The sequence below is a fragment of the Homo sapiens genome, chromosome 2 (assembly GCF_000001405.40).
Source record: "Homo sapiens chromosome 2, GRCh38.p14 Primary Assembly".
NCBI classification, from domain to species: domain Eukaryota; kingdom Metazoa; phylum Chordata; class Mammalia; order Primates; family Hominidae; genus Homo; species Homo sapiens.
In genome coordinates this window covers 87,317,921-87,333,252 of record NC_000002.12, presented here as the reverse complement: position 1 = coordinate 87,333,252, position 15,332 = coordinate 87,317,921, and the positions used below count along the sequence as shown (strand labels likewise).

At 43.6% G+C, this 15,332-nt stretch overlaps 2 long non-coding RNA genes across 3 annotated transcripts in view; one reads left to right on the top strand and one right to left on the bottom strand.

The window, feature by feature from the left end:
- The first annotated feature begins 6,496 nt into the window (after positions 1-6,496).
- Positions 6,497-13,834, top strand: LOC105374848 (uncharacterized). 2 transcript variants are annotated; one of them, XR_940324.3, is made up of 3 exons: positions 6,508-8,843; positions 9,557-9,908; positions 11,634-13,834. It is a non-coding gene; the product is annotated as an uncharacterized LOC105374848 (long non-coding RNA). The 2 variants fall into 2 exon arrangements; XR_007087123.1 differs by having other exon boundaries at positions 6,497-8,843; positions 9,557-13,834.
- The window catches only part of LOC107985908 (uncharacterized), a 66,991-nt gene continuing 62,530 nt past the window's right edge, over positions 10,872-15,332 (bottom strand). The window contains exon 3 of the long non-coding RNA XR_001739577.3: positions 10,872-10,939. This is a non-coding gene — a long non-coding RNA (uncharacterized LOC107985908). The remainder of the gene's footprint in view (positions 10,940-15,332) is intronic.

Genomic DNA, 15,332 nt, shown 5'->3' with positions numbered 1-15,332 from the left:
TCTTTTTCTTTTTTTTTTTTTTTTGAGACAAGGTCTCACTCCCATCACCAAGGCTGAAGTGGAGTGGCACGATCATGGCTTACTGCAACCTCATCCTCTGGGGCTCGGGTGATTCTCTCACCTCAGCCTCCTGGGTAGCTGGGACTACAGGTGCCCACCACTACACCTGGCTAATTTTTTGTATTTTTAGTAGAGAGGGTTTCATCATGTTGCCCAGGCTGATCTTGAACTCCTAAGCTCAAGAGATCCACCGGCCTCAGCCTCCCAAAGTGCTGGAATTACAGGCATGAGCCATTGCGCCCAGCCACGCCTGACTTTTAATAGTCCTGACCTCAACAGATGGGTACTGGGGTTTTTAATTGATATTAACACACTCAGGTGCTCATAGCCTGAGGCCCCAAAATGAGTGTGATTATCTCGTTCTTCATAAGCCAGACAGATGTTGACTGCCAGCAACATGAAGTATACCAGGCCTTATGGAGGGGAAGGAGATTTGAGAATACTAGGTCAAGGTCAGCTCCCAAAACACCTTCTCTAATCGCTCAATAGTTAACTGATGTCTTGAATTATCTTGGAGCTTAAAGGGAGGGGCTATCCTCTTTCTCCTCTAATCATGTCATGTTTATCTTTAAACTGAACAGACTTCCACCGAAAATATGATCTACAAGTAAGGTAAGTTAACAGGGCAGTTTCTTTGCATATCAGCTTTATTTAGAATTTACATTATGTTTTCATTTTTCTATCAAACAGTTGACCTAGGCTCTGAATTTTAAAAAGCAGAACATGTGGCCCAACAGGAGCCCTTGCCCAGGATCATTAGTCATTTATGTAAATAAATGACTTCCTAGGGAAGGAGCAGATGCAAACTCATGCTGAGCCTTGGGGACGCTGGGCCGTGGCTGAGGGTGCAGCCCCGTGGCCTGTATCTTGGGGATATGTAGTGGGGTGCCCTTTAGGGCTGACACAGCTAGCCCGTGCCTTACCACTGGACAGCAGCCCAACTTCGGGCATGGCACCAGGCCTCACTCAACCTCAGTTTCCCTAGCATGATCATATGTACTTCACAGGGTTGCCATCCAAATGGGACGAGATGTTATTAGTGAAGGGCCAGTATGTTGCAATCCCTATCCATGTGACAGTGGATGGTGGTAAAGCTTCTGCTGCCCAGAAACTTCCTTCCCTCAAAGGGTTTTTGACCTATTTGCAAGTTGATACTCCTCTCTGAGGCCTGTTTTACAAAACAAGGGAAATCTGCTGCCCCTACATATTGTCTAAATTCCTGCTTTCTGATTCTCATAACCTTCTTTTTCACACATGTGGAGGAAATTATTATCTGTACCCAATATTATTATTATTATTATTATTTCGAGAGAGTCTCCCTCTGTCCCAGGCTGGGGTGCAGTGGCACAATCTCTGCTCACTGCAACCTCCGCCTCCCAGACTCAAGTGATTCTCCTGCCTTAGCCTCCCGAGTAGCTGGGATTACAGGCATGCACCACCATGCCTGACTGATTTTTCTATTTTTAGTAGAGACAGGGTTTCTCCATGTTGGCCAGGCTGGCCTCGAACTCTTGACTTCAGGTGATCCACCTACCTTGGCCTCTCAAAGTGCTGGGATTACAGGCATGAGCCACCGTGCCCAGCCCCCAATATTATTTCAATGCCTTATTTTACCCACTTTTTTAATGGTGCTTTTGGCATCCTAATTAAGAAATCTTTGCCTTGGCCAAAATCATGAAGTTGCCCTCCTATATTTTCTTCTAAAATTTAAATTGTTTTATCTTTCTCATTTAAGTTTGCTCCGTATCTGGAATTAGTTTTTAGCAATGTAATTTTAAGTATTAATTTGCCATTCAAATATAATTTAAATATTAATTTGGTAGTATTTGTCATAATTTTTGTCTTTTTTGTTTTCAAATAAGAAACCAGGAATTTAGAAAGTGCCAATTTTCTGGGTGGAAAAGATTACATGCACTAAAATTATAATATTGTGCCATATTAGAATAGTCAAAATGTCAGAAAGGAATTTTTCTATTTCATGAGACTCAAGAAAAGTCAATTTGCCATAAGTATTAATTACATCCATAGAAAGAGAATGCTTGTATGAGATGAATGAATCACAGTGACTACTTATAACATTGAGGCTGCTTTAAAGGATTTATTCACCCATTCAACAACATTGTATTGATATTTATATTATAAATATATATTCATAATAAATATACATTTATTGAAAATATCTATGTCTCATATAGGACAGTCATACTTGTTATATTCATTATATTTATTTGTACATGTTTACATATTCATTAAAATATATTACATTCAAAACATTGATATCGATGTGCCTATGAAGATATGTAATTTGCTTGGGGGAAACTAGGGAGATTCCAAAAATCACTCAGCATTACACAGTGACATTTGAGGACAAATTTGATGATGCCGTTGGTATGCAATGTCAACTTCATTCCTTGCCTCTGTGCTTTGTCATTATTTCAAAGCACTGTCTTCTAGGTCACAGTGTGACTCCATGCGCACCAGAAAAGATGTCTGGTCTTAGTCTAGCATGAAAGACGTGGCATATGTGGTGCAGCTGTCACCAACATCCTGAGTCAGAACCAGAACATCAGAGACTGAGTTAAGACACACGCAGCAAAGCACAATTTCTCCCACTGGGAATTGATGTCAGATACTGGATTTCAGATGACCAAGCTACTAAGCAGGAAAGCAGTTTATTTATCCTTCTTTTGAATATGAAGATGAATGAAATCATGAAGTGACATGGGAGCCTTAGGTCAAAAGCAAAACTATTTGCTGTCCTATTTACAGGGCCGCAAATCACTTTTTATTCCAAGCAATAAATGCTATCATCATCCGTGATCCTGGTGTGTTTACGGTGAAGCAAAAATCCTGCTACCTGAAGGAAAGTGTTCGGCGGGGGGAATCAGGGTTTCCATGTTATAAAGAATGGGGCAGGGCTAGGAGGAACCTGAGTAGTTTCCTGCTGAATTTGAACTGCCTGCAGTTATTGAGACAGATAGAGCTGTCCAGTTACTCTGAAAACATTTAAAGTCTGTCTTTATTATCATCCAAATAAAAGTCTAAATTTCACATCCACGTGGTCTGTGAGCATCTGAGAGCACCCATATTTTCCTCAAACTCACTTTAACCAAAGCTCCTGGGGAAGACGCATGACCCAGAATACTGGCCCACACATTGTCTTGAACATGGTGATTGGCACTGGAAAACCTTCTTCAAAGCCAGGATTACTAGCCAACTGTAGCAAGCGCACAGGAATGTCACCATGGGGCATGCAGACGGTGTCGCCCAGGAAAGAATCGTGCCCACGTAGGGGCTACAAGATGCTATTTGGCTCCACTGTTCACACCAACATTAAAAACACCTATGAAAAACCCAGGTTTTGCATAACTGTAATGCATTCTAGGCCTCTCTGCCTGATAATCATTTACCTGTATGGCTTGCTTCTTTTAACTCTAAGTTAGGAATCATAAAACTGAGACCTTGGCTCAAGGGAGGAGGCCCACATTCTTGTGCACAGCTATCTTCCACTGACCGCTTCAATCGCCCATCATATGTTGAAAAAGAAGAGTTTGTTTATGCCCTCTTTTATGTAGTGTTTCAGGTTCTCAGCATCCGAAGTTCATTATTTGTTGATTTGTAGCAGGTGTGGTCTAATCCACAGCCAGCCGAGCCAGTAGGGTCAACCCCTAAAAGGACAGAGAAGCTCTGGGAGCAGCCTCCCCTTGTTCTTAACTGGTATCTTGATTAAACTAAATAGAAAATGGAATGAAAGCTGTTAAATCCACCTGCTCTTTATGCTCGTGTCAGTGGGAAGACCTCATTCAGCTTGCAAAACGTTAATGTCCTCCAGGACCCTGCTGGCCATCAAAGACAAATATTAGCATTCCTTTCTCTTCTGTGATGGGACCCTTCAAAGCAAAAAAAAAGTCCTAATTAAAATTCTAGAAATATTACCACTTGAAAAACTGCATTAGCATTAGTGAATTTCTCATGCAAGTTCCTTTCTGGCTAGCTTGGCCAAAAAAAAAAAAAGAAAAAAAAAAGCTGTTAATTTTCAATGCAATTCCATGAACTGTGGTTCCTTGTTCAAAATGTATAGCAAAGAAAATGGAAACTGCCATAATGACTTATATTGTGGCCAAAACTCTTCCAACTCTGGTAGAAAATCACATTTCATTTCTTTGGCGGGTGAGAGAGGCAACACAATACATTGGAAATGAGAGAATGGAAGAGTCGGATGCCATGTTTCCTTCTAACTAGGATTCCAGTTTTCACCCACATCACTTCAGCAATGCAAAGTGGCATAAAAGCAGGTCACCGCACAGTGCCTGAGCAGTGAATGCAAATACAGTACTTGGTTCCTGACCACAGCATGTGAAAGCACATAAAAGAGAGAGGGTCACATTTCATGTCGATTTTGCTTCTCCATGACCAGGCTACATGGAGGCTGAGCAGCCGCTGGCTGCCTTGTTCATCTCTTTGGCCCTTGTCTAAATCACAACCTATTTCAGCATGGAAAACGAAGGAAGAAACATCAGCAGACCATTTTCCAAATGTCGATCATCTGCTTTAATTGTGGTTGTGCTGATTTTGTTGCTCTTGGCAAAATCTTGTTCTCCCTTCAGTGCAGCCGAAAATACTAGGTTGTATCAATTGCCATTGGAAACAACCCATTTACACGTCAGACAAAGGAAATAAAAATCGCTGACACTCTGTTTTGCAAGGACAAATTAATTTGCCCCAGAATGGCATGTTTGCCACCAATCTCATTAAAAGTACTATGAGATTATCAGGAAAAATTAATACAAGCTGTTGGTTATCAGCGACATCATTTCAGCTCACAAAGGCAAGTCCTAGTTGTCAGTTTGCTGCTGGGGGCAAGGACAGGCATTTACAAAGAAAGTCATATTCAATTAGAAACCATAGCTGGAGCTGGCATTTGCGGTTCCTCTGCACCGGATCAGCTTGAAGAACAATTGCACTGCTTCTTTTTGGCTTGAACTTGAAAGCAAGGGCATTTATGACAGCAAGGGGAAACAAGTCCTTTCTCAAATGTGCTTATGAGAGAACAGAAAAGTCTGCTTGGAAATGTGGAAACTGAGGCTCTATGGCACTGAGCATGCTCAGGAGATACAGGATTGGATAACTATTAAAAAGTGTCTTGGAACTATTCATCTACAAAACATGGGGCTGGATGAATCTGCTGATGACACCTCCCTCCTGTCTGTGTGCTTAGGTCCCTTCAGAACCTCTCCCCAGGTGTCAGTCCCATGATCTCTGCGCATGGCTCTCAGGCATTGCAGGCTCTTATTTAATGTCTGGGACACTCATTGACAACGACCACACTGATAGCCTCTGTGTGTCTTCTGGAGCATTCATTTATCAAACCTCTATTGAGCAATAGTTCTGAGCCCAACACCATTAGAGTGTACAGTAATGAGCAAGAACATCAAAGAAAGAGAAATTCTCTTCAAAAGCATTTTATTGCTAAACAAATTTCATTTGGTCTCCAACTTTCACAGATTACTAATCTAGGCTGTGGGTTATTTCTGAGTTATATTCATCTAGCAACGTTCAGGAATCACCTGTTTTCCAGTGATTCTGCATAAGCAGCTATTGTATGTGCGCCTCTGCTCCTCCTTAGACCAGTACAGACAGTTTGTAAAAGTACAAATTTGGTCCCTGCTATAGGTGCCAGCACGTTAAAGGAACAAGGTCCTTCCAGGGTATTTATTAATAAAATTATATATATATAAAATAAATAAATGCGGTTTCACCATGTTGGTCTCCAACTCCTGACTTCAAGTGATCCACCCACCTCGGCTTCCCAGAGTGCTGGGATTACAGGCGTGAGCCGCCACGCCCAGCCTAAAGATATATATATATTTTTAAAGGCATATACGGAAGTCCAGAGCAGTCTGTGTCCCTGTATCAGATTGAGCCTTGGTTAGCATTGGCTTGCCTCTCCTGCTGGACCTTCAGATCCTGGGCCGGGAGGGTGGGGGAACATGATGTGTCAGATCATGTCCGCATAGCACTTTGCACAAAACTTCACTATGGTAAACATCCAAAAAAAGGAAGTGTTGACTGTGAATTTGCTTCTTTATCCTCTCTGGACTCTGAATCCCAAGATCCACGATTAAGGCTTAGGACTCTCCATCCTGCAGCATTCCCTGCTTTACACTGAGAGGCAATGGGAGGGACTGGGCCTGGGCAGAGGGATCCAGGAGCCAGTTGCGTAACTGGCCTGAGATGTGCGTCTGAAAAGACTTTTTGCAGGCAAATGTGGCTCCAGCCTCCTGCTGCCTCCAGCCAGTCCTCCCTTCCCACTCTGGGAGCCTGGCCTGTTCATGCTACACTGTTTGGTTTTGGCTGTGGCCTCCACCCTGGTGCAACCTGTGCATCTAAGGAGGCTCAACTGGAGGAATCCAGGCCCCTTCCCAGGAAAAGTGTTTGTTGGTGGCAGATAGCCAGGCTGACAGAGGTGTTCCCCCTCAGGTGAGGGGGCCTCATGGCCACAGCACTAATGGGGGGTAGGAAGGGGTTCACGTCCGCTTCCTGAGCTGAGCTGCCTCTGTAGCACCTGTGCCTCCTCTAGGGCGGCATCCTACTTCCAGTTCATTCTTGATCCCACAGAATGCAGGGACAGGGCACTAAGTGTTCAGCTCTGCTGGCCTCAGCCACTCGCTCTGAGCTCCCAGTGGTATGAGTCTGTCAGAGACACTGGTACCAAGAGGTCCAACATGTGACACTTCCAAGCAGTCAGTGTGGAAGTTTCTCACAACAGTCCAAGAAGAAGCAAGAACAACTCTCTTGGGCTGGAAAGGATTAGAGTTGATCCAGGCGCACAATCTTCAGATCCTGCCTTCAATCTTGGCCTCAGGAGACAGAGCCTCCCATCAAAGGACAGAGCCACCAAAACCAACTCCATTTACAGTATTCCAGTGGCTTCTGTGAGCCAGAAATTTCTAGAAGCTCTTGAAGGGCCTTTTGTGGCAGTGCACAAGGCTGAGTTGTCACAGCCCTACTTGCAGAGGTGGTGAACCCTGTGAAGAGCCTCCATCTCAAAGACACACACTTTGGAGAGCAGTAGACCTTGCAGGGGATGGGGAATTCACGCCCCTGTGAAACTGGGATGACGTAGAATTATGGAAGAGTACCTGTCCCTGAGTGTCCTTGAAAGTCAAGCAATTAAAACAGATGCAATCCCTTTGGATGGAGATGCAGCACAGCATCATTGCTGTGGAAGTCCATGGTACAGGGGTGGCTGGCAGTCACAGCAGACTCTGCAAAATGGGACTCCATCCTGGTTGGCTTCTAAGGATCAAGGTAGACCATTCTTACAATAATGACATAGAATAAGAGACATGGATACTTCCTTGGTTGAAAGAAACACACTGGCAGCTAGTACAGTGGAGAACACCTTCTCTTGTTCATCCTAGAGAAAGTGTCCCCGGGGTCAGGGGACAAGGCTGGGCCAGAGCTGCTCTCAGTTGAATATAAGTGAGTGGTATTTGAATTACTGTAAGCTGGAACTCAAAAGCTCTCTGTGATTCATAAAGCAGCTCTTTTCATATGGGTTCCAAATTTCCTTTTCTGTTCATTCAACATCCTCTGACAAGCTCTCTGAACTTCATTCTGGCTTAAAAATCTAAGAAAGCCATGATAGTGAATACCCATGTCATGACTGTTTACCCTCAGTCCTCAGACTCGCCCTTCCCTGCTGAGGTGCCGCCCTGTGGAGAGGGATTAACCTCGAATGAGACGGTGGGACAGAGACCGATGCACTGTTGTGGTCACGGTTCCATAGGTGTGCTGTGTTTTTTCTCAGCATACCCATTTTAGGCTCGTGTGGTATCAAACTTTTCTGCCAGTAAGTAGAAAAGGCAATTTTTGTAAAAACTGAGAAACAAGTTGCAGGCGAGAGCAGATATTTCAGAAATGACTCAGAATCATGTTTTGCTAGAAGAATGCTAATGAAATACAGAGCGCATATTCATGAAACTGATAACACTCCCTCGGAAAGAAAATGACTCTTATTAGACATCTGAACTTGAGCAAAACATTCATGTCATCGATTATAATATAATGGATGGCTCCTACTCTGGCAGCAAAATTTAGCTTTAATGTAACTACAGAAGCAAAGATTATTCTTGGGGGAATAATGACAGAGTGTATCTTTCTGATCATCTGAAGCAGTTCATTCACCTCTGAAACTGACTGTAAACCTCAGGAAAGAAGCTTCTCAGAAATACATGACCCACTAAGCTAAGAGCCAACTCCCTAGTGAATCACCTTCCACACCCGTGACCTCAAGTCCAGGACCCGTGTAAAGCTAGTTTTTACCATGTCTTCTATGACTGCTGGGGGATGGTACACTATCATCCTAGATCCAATTACCCACAGAAAAAAACAAAAAACAAAAAACAACTAAACCAGCTACTACTAAGCTTGAGCATGACTAGCACTGAACTACCTAATTTCTGACTGTTACAAATTAATCAAGTCACAGCACATTTGCGATTCATATCAGCTACCTAGGGCGTTTCTGTAGACAGCTAACCCATTTGGGAAGCAGTCAGCTAATACTATCTGGATGTCAGATGCATCTCATGTTTTGGCAGCTCTTTATAGTCTTTCAAGGGGATTGTGTTGACAGGCACTTGCCCTTCAACTTGCTGCTCTGTTTGGCAGCGGCTCTGTTTTCAGTCTTGCCTTCATTGCACTTGAGGATTTTCCACAGCCATGTATGGGGATGTTCTCATGTAAGAGGGTCAGACGGGCAAAAATCTGGGAAGAAGGTAGGTGCATTCACAAAGCCATGCCTGGAAACTCTAGATCAGAGGGTGGACTCAACTCCTCCCAGAATCCAGAGGCTTGAAGTTGAGGTAGCTTAATCTCAGAGTGTACCTCTAGCTTCTCTAGGAGCAGTTTTTGGAAGGATCAGAGTCAGACTGCAACGCAGGCTTCAAACAACAGGAAAAGTCATTTAAAACCAAGAGTAATGAGAAGGGTGTGAATATTGGGAGGGTTTTTTAACTTCGTGAATTGGGTGTGATTTTTATTAAAATCATTTCCTAAAATCATGATGATTACGATTATGTCTATTAAAAATAAGAGTTCATATATATTTAGAGATATATACTAAAATATTTACAGATAAAATGATACAATGTTTAGGATATGCTTTAAAAAAATTAGAATGGGGCGAGATTGGGTTGTAGCTGAAACATAATTGGCCATAAGTTGATCATTGTTGAAGGCAAGTGACAGATGGGAGCTCATTATAATTTTCTCTATTTTGGTGTATGTTTAAGATGTTCTATGATAAAAAGTTAGAAATGAAATATGAGATATATGAATGCCTTTCTCAGAGACAATTATCTAATTTGAAACTCAGTTTCCTTTAACTCAAGATTTGTTTGCATATATCTAAATCACATGGTTTTATCTTGCAAAAAAGAAACCACAGCGTTAAACCCGGGCTTCTCTTCTCGGTTCTGCTTTCTTCCAGGGATTCCAAGCGACAGGGACGGGGTTTCACTGTGTTGGCCAGGATGGTCTCGATCTCTTGACCGTGTGATCTGCCTGCTTCGGCCTCCCAAAGTGCTGGTATTACAGGCGTGAGCCACTGCGCCCAGTCAAAGATGTTCTCTTTTAAGATTACTTTTTAAAAAGACTCACACGGTACCTTCCCACAAGAAGACATGGAGACTATGTGACGTAGCCTGTGGGTCCCTGGACACCGGGACTAGAGGACCCTTCCCAAGAGCAGACCGCAGGCAAGATACCATTCATTGGCCTCGCTGCCTGTGCCCGCGGATTCCGCACGTGGCCACACCTCTTCTATACAAGGCAAGGTGGCGGTGAGTAGGAAAACATGCAGTCCTGACCTGGGCAGCTGGCATATGGGGGTTTCTGCCCCCAAGGCGCTTCTAGCACAAAACCTAGTGCTAGGTCTCAACCTCAGTAGCAAAGAGGGAGTCCCCAGAAGGTGCCATGAGGGTGGGCCCTGAAAAACAGCTGAGTGGGGTCGCCAGATTTTGGGGGTGGAGTGACAGGAAGACTGGTAAATTTGAACTTCTCTGCTTGGAACATAAGAAATACTCTCCATGACACAGGTGTCTGCACAAAATCAGGCATCTCTTGTCCCTGGAAAGTTATATCCCCAAGATAGAGCTGGCTGGCTCCCAGAACTAGGGTGAGCAAAGCCCCCACAGCAAGGAGCTCTGTTCTGATTTTGGCTTCCTGGGTGGCCCTGGAGATCCTGCAGCCCGGTGGTTATGGAGTGGCCTGGTGCTCCTCCTCATCAGAGATCCAGGCTAGCCTCCAGGGAGATAAATGAGAAGCACAAGCATTTTCCCCATATGACCTAACTTAAAGGATTTGAAATGCGGTGAAAACAGAAGCCACAACAGAAATCCCAGAAGCATAAAAGACGAAGCGTCCAGTCTCTCCTGACCCACTATGGCCTGCCCAAGTCCTGTGGCTCATCAGCTGCACACTGTCACCCAGGCCACCGGTGTATGCCCGTCTCCCTGAGCCTGAGCTGGCCAGAGGGAAGCTGGGCTCAAAAGACCTGAAGGAAAAACTGGAAACAGACAAAGGACTTCAAGGACCCACTGGAAACAGCCCGCACTTCCTGTAGAACTAGAGAATTTCTCTCCTTCTTTAATCTTAGTGGACTCCAGAGAAAGTGGATAGAAATAGGCATGATATAAAATATCACATCAAATCCACTCACCTCTTGCATTCCTCTGTGAAGGTGGTTGCCAAGAAGGGGAAGTTAGAAACCAGGCCTGGAGCCACATTGCTGGCCAGGAATCCCAGCTAAGTCCCTTATTAGCTATGCAACTTGAGCAAGGAGTTCTCCAGCTCGTGACCTCCATTTTCTTATCTGTAAAATGGGAATGAAAATAACATGACCGTGGGCCACACAGGGACGTTATAAGAAGAAATGAGTGAATACATATGTAGCCTTTAGAACAGCAATAGACATGCAATAAGCAATCAAAACGTTAGCTATTCTTAATAGCTCAAAGGACTTGAAGGCACTCTTTTATATATGTATTTATTGATTTTTCCAGAAGATGAAAATAGATCATTTGTCTCTAATCACATGCAGTGCCAAAAGCCACCAGGTTTCTTGGGGTTTGTGTCACTGAATCCACATAACCCAATGTGCTTTCTGACCATCCTCATTCCTGCTCATGGTTCCTGAGGCTCCCGAGCATCCCCTTAGTTACCAGACATAAATTCAATTATCCTCACCAAATGCCAGGAAAAGAGGATTGCATTTCACCAACCAGGAATGTCAGAAAAAGTTCATTCTCTCACTAGGATTTTCTTCCCTTTGGCTATATTAAGACACTGAGTTTTACTTAGAAAGCACTAAAGGTGAAGATATGGTCACAGGATGCTGTCAGTTCTATTGACACGACCCAGCAAAAATAATAATAATAATAATAAAAATGCTTGAAATGCAATACACATATGTGGACACAGAAATGCTAAGATGTGTTTCAGAACATGCAGTCTCTCCATGTTCAGAATTAACACCCTCAGTACATGCTTCTGTGCTTCTTTACCAGTGCCTACATCCATGCCATCCTGTTGTTATCCATGGATGAACAACTCAGAATTTGGAGAAATGGATTTGGGGAAATCTCTGAGACACATTTTGAAACCAGCGAGGAATTAGGCTGCAAGCGGCAGCAGCAGTAACAGTGACAGCAGCAAGAAACAGCCACCTGCATCTCAAGAGTGGCACAGGGCTTCCACTGGCTGAGGCGGACACATGGCGGATGTGTAAGAAGCGTGCAGAAAGTGGTCAGTCGTGTGTGCACACACGAATACATGCTCAGTGTCAGGCCAAGGCCCTGTGGGCCTAAGGAAAACAATGTCACGTTTCAACATGATTTGGGAAACCCTACTCTCCACTGAAATCTCATATTGGCAGCAGAAAACTCTGCCGATGCCTCAGAAGCCAAAGATAACTAAATTGTGTTTCTTTTAGTTCTTGCATAGGGGCAAGCCCACTTCACATTTCATGATACACCAACTCCTAGAGAGCTCCTTTGGGGCCCTATTTAATTTACTTAACTTTTGTTGGCAATGGAAAGTGGGCCTGCCACATTTGATGACTAGAGCAGGTCCATCCCAGTCACCTGCCTTCCCAAAAGTGCATTGGAGAGTGGAACAGAAACCACAACCCACTGTCTCGGACAGGCGTCAGCATTGTAAAATACACTCTGGCACCCAGCCCTGGCAGAATAGTGGTCTACAGAGGCAAAACTTCAGATTTTTACTATACCCAAGGCATAATGAACTTTATCGAGGGTAAATATTGCCCAGCCTTCTTTCATGTAGGAACCAAGAAAACTAGACCCAACAGTTTTGCCTTTCCTTCCTTCTCTGTACATGTTCTTCCTAGTTGTACTGGATTTTGCTAATATCATAAGCACAGCTGTGATACAGCCAGGTCTTTATGCATGGATTTTACTCTTTGAGCAGCTTGAAGACAATTCTGTCTCGCTCTCTCTGGGTTCTCACGAGCACAGAGCTGTAACCATAATAAGCTCTCAATAAAGGTTGAATAGAGGCCACAGAGATCTTCAGGCCAGAAGTCAGAGGTCATTCCTTGAGGACGTGTTAGTGACAGTGTCCTGTACAGTGGCTAGGCAGAGAAAGACTGCTGAGAACAGACAGACCTGGCTTTCATTAGTTAAGAGATGGACAGAGGAAGGAGCTCCATCCACTCACAAAGACAGTGGCCTCCATATCCCGAGAGGGGAGTCAGGAGCATGACATGTTCTACACAACTACAGTCTTCATCATAATCCCAAAGGCAGCCATAACCATGGGTAATTGGGATAATATTTAGAAAATATTTGCATGCCAAAACTGACATTTTTAGAGGCCATGGAGAAACAGGTTTCCAATGTCAAGTTTTGTTGAAAGAGGACACACATTATTCTAGATTCTGAAAGTTCCCTTCATCTTCAAAGAGCTAGGCCTTGCCAGTGTGACTGTGGAGCTTGCTATAAGCCTGAATAAAGAGAAGACAGAGGACATCAAGTTAGGGAAACCCCACCCAACAGGAAGGAGACACTCTTCTGGCCAAGAGGCAAGTTGGGGAGGGAGGGATGCAGAGAGAAGAGAAGATGAGAGAAGTTAAGGCTGAGCTAGTATCTGAGAATACCTCACATGTGCCCCACAGCCTGCCTCTTCCTCTGCTACACTGTGGCCAGAAAGGGGTCTCAGTGTTCTACGTGCCCCCAGAGGGTGTAGCTGCGAGCCAGACTGCTGAGAGGTCACCTTTGCAGAGCCTAGAGACAGATGACAGACAAAGCTGAGATTTAGAGATCTTTGGGGCCAGGAAGATCTGAGCAGTGGAGGTCCCAAAGCACCAGCAGAGACAGCTAGACCTAGTGGCCCCAGAATTGGATGCTCAAAGACATGATCAGGCCAGGCCCAGCTCAATCAGCACCTGCTATGTCTCAAAGGCAGGATGAGTTCAGAGGCACCACTCCACACTGTGAGAATCCATAATTGTTTCCCTCTTCCAGCTGCCAACCTGGGACATAGAGAGTGAAGAGACATCCTTTGAGAAGGAAATCTTAATTTTTATTTAACTGTGTATTTACCCAAAAGAAAGTGAGTTAGACCAAAAGAGTCTAAGTTGCTTTCAATGGGCAAGTTTAAGGTTCTCCCTCCTTCCTCTGCCATCAACAGGAAATGATGAGATCCATATAGAGAATATTTAAAAGGAAATAAATTATCATTTTCTGCCCCTCTGAGTTGCAGGGTGTAAATTCTTCCTCTGCTAGAAGCGTGTGCAATGTGGGAAGCCCAGCACACAGAAAGAGCTTAATTCATGCTGCTGATTTAATAGATTTTTTTTCATGGATGTGCCAGAAAGCCCCATTCATGTAAACACTACAATTGCAAAAGTTTATGCCAGACAGAAGCCTGCATTTGTTGGGGATTAAAAGAAAGGGCACTTGACTTTGTAGCCCAAAGACCCAGGTTTTCCAGGTGCAGTCCTGGCATTGAGTTGTCATGTCATCCCAGGCAAATCATGGACTTGTTCTGGGCCTCTGTTTCTTTCTTCAACATGAAGGAATTTGTTAAAGAAATTTCTAAAATTCTTCTGTTAATGAGTAATGACGATAATATCAGTAGTCACAAGCATTTACTGAGCACTGACTAGCTGCCAACCACTGTGTTGTTTGCTTTGTTTATATAACCCCATTCACTTTTAAAATCATCTTATGAGGGAAAGAAACCATTATCACCCACATAAGGTATGACTGCTTATATAGAAAATGCCCAAAATCCATAAACAAATGATTAAGAACAATTAAATTTAGTGAAGATATAAAATTTACATACATCAAACAGCTAGAAAGTTTAATTAAAAGACAATATTTTTTTTTTTTAATTCTGAGATAGAGTCTCACTCTGTCACCCAGGCTGGAGTGCAGTGGCGCTATCTCAGCTCACTGCAACCTCCTCTGCCTTCCGGGTTCAAGCAATTCTCGTGCCTCAGCCCCCTGAGTAGCTAGGATTACAGGTGTAAACCACCACACATGGCTAATTTTTGTATTTTTTTTTTTTTTTTAGTAGGGACGGGGTTTCACCATGTTGGCCAGGCTGGTCTAGAACTCCTGATCTCAAGTGATCCGCCCACCTCAGCCTCCCAAGGTGCTGGGATTACAGGCATGAGCCACTGTGCCCAGGCTAAAAGACAATATTCTTTACAACAGCATCAGAAAACATCAGGTATCTAGTGGGGCACAGTGGCATGTGCCTATAGTCCCAGCTACTCAGGAGGGTGAGGTAGGAGGATCACTTGGACCTAGGAGTTCGAAGCTGTGGTGAGCTATGATCGTACCACTGCACTCCAGCCCGGATGACAAAATAAGACCCTTCCTCAAAAAAAAAAAAAAAAATTAAAATATCAAGTCTCCTAGAATAAACCTAACAATGGACACATTTTCAAGACCTCTAGAAGGAAAAGTGTAAAACTTTAAGAGATATTAAAAAGGGCTAAGTAATTGGAGAGAGATATTGTGTTCATGGATTATATAATTTAATAGTGTAATTTGATCTATATATTCAGTGCAATTCTTGTCAAATTCCTAATAATTTTTTTAAAAATAGAACCTGAAAAAATGATTCTAAACTTATGTGAAAGCATAAAAGACCAAAAATAGGATGTTTCTGAAAAGGTAGTGATCAGGGGTTTCCCTTATTGATGTCTGGACTTTTATGAGGCTGGAGCAATT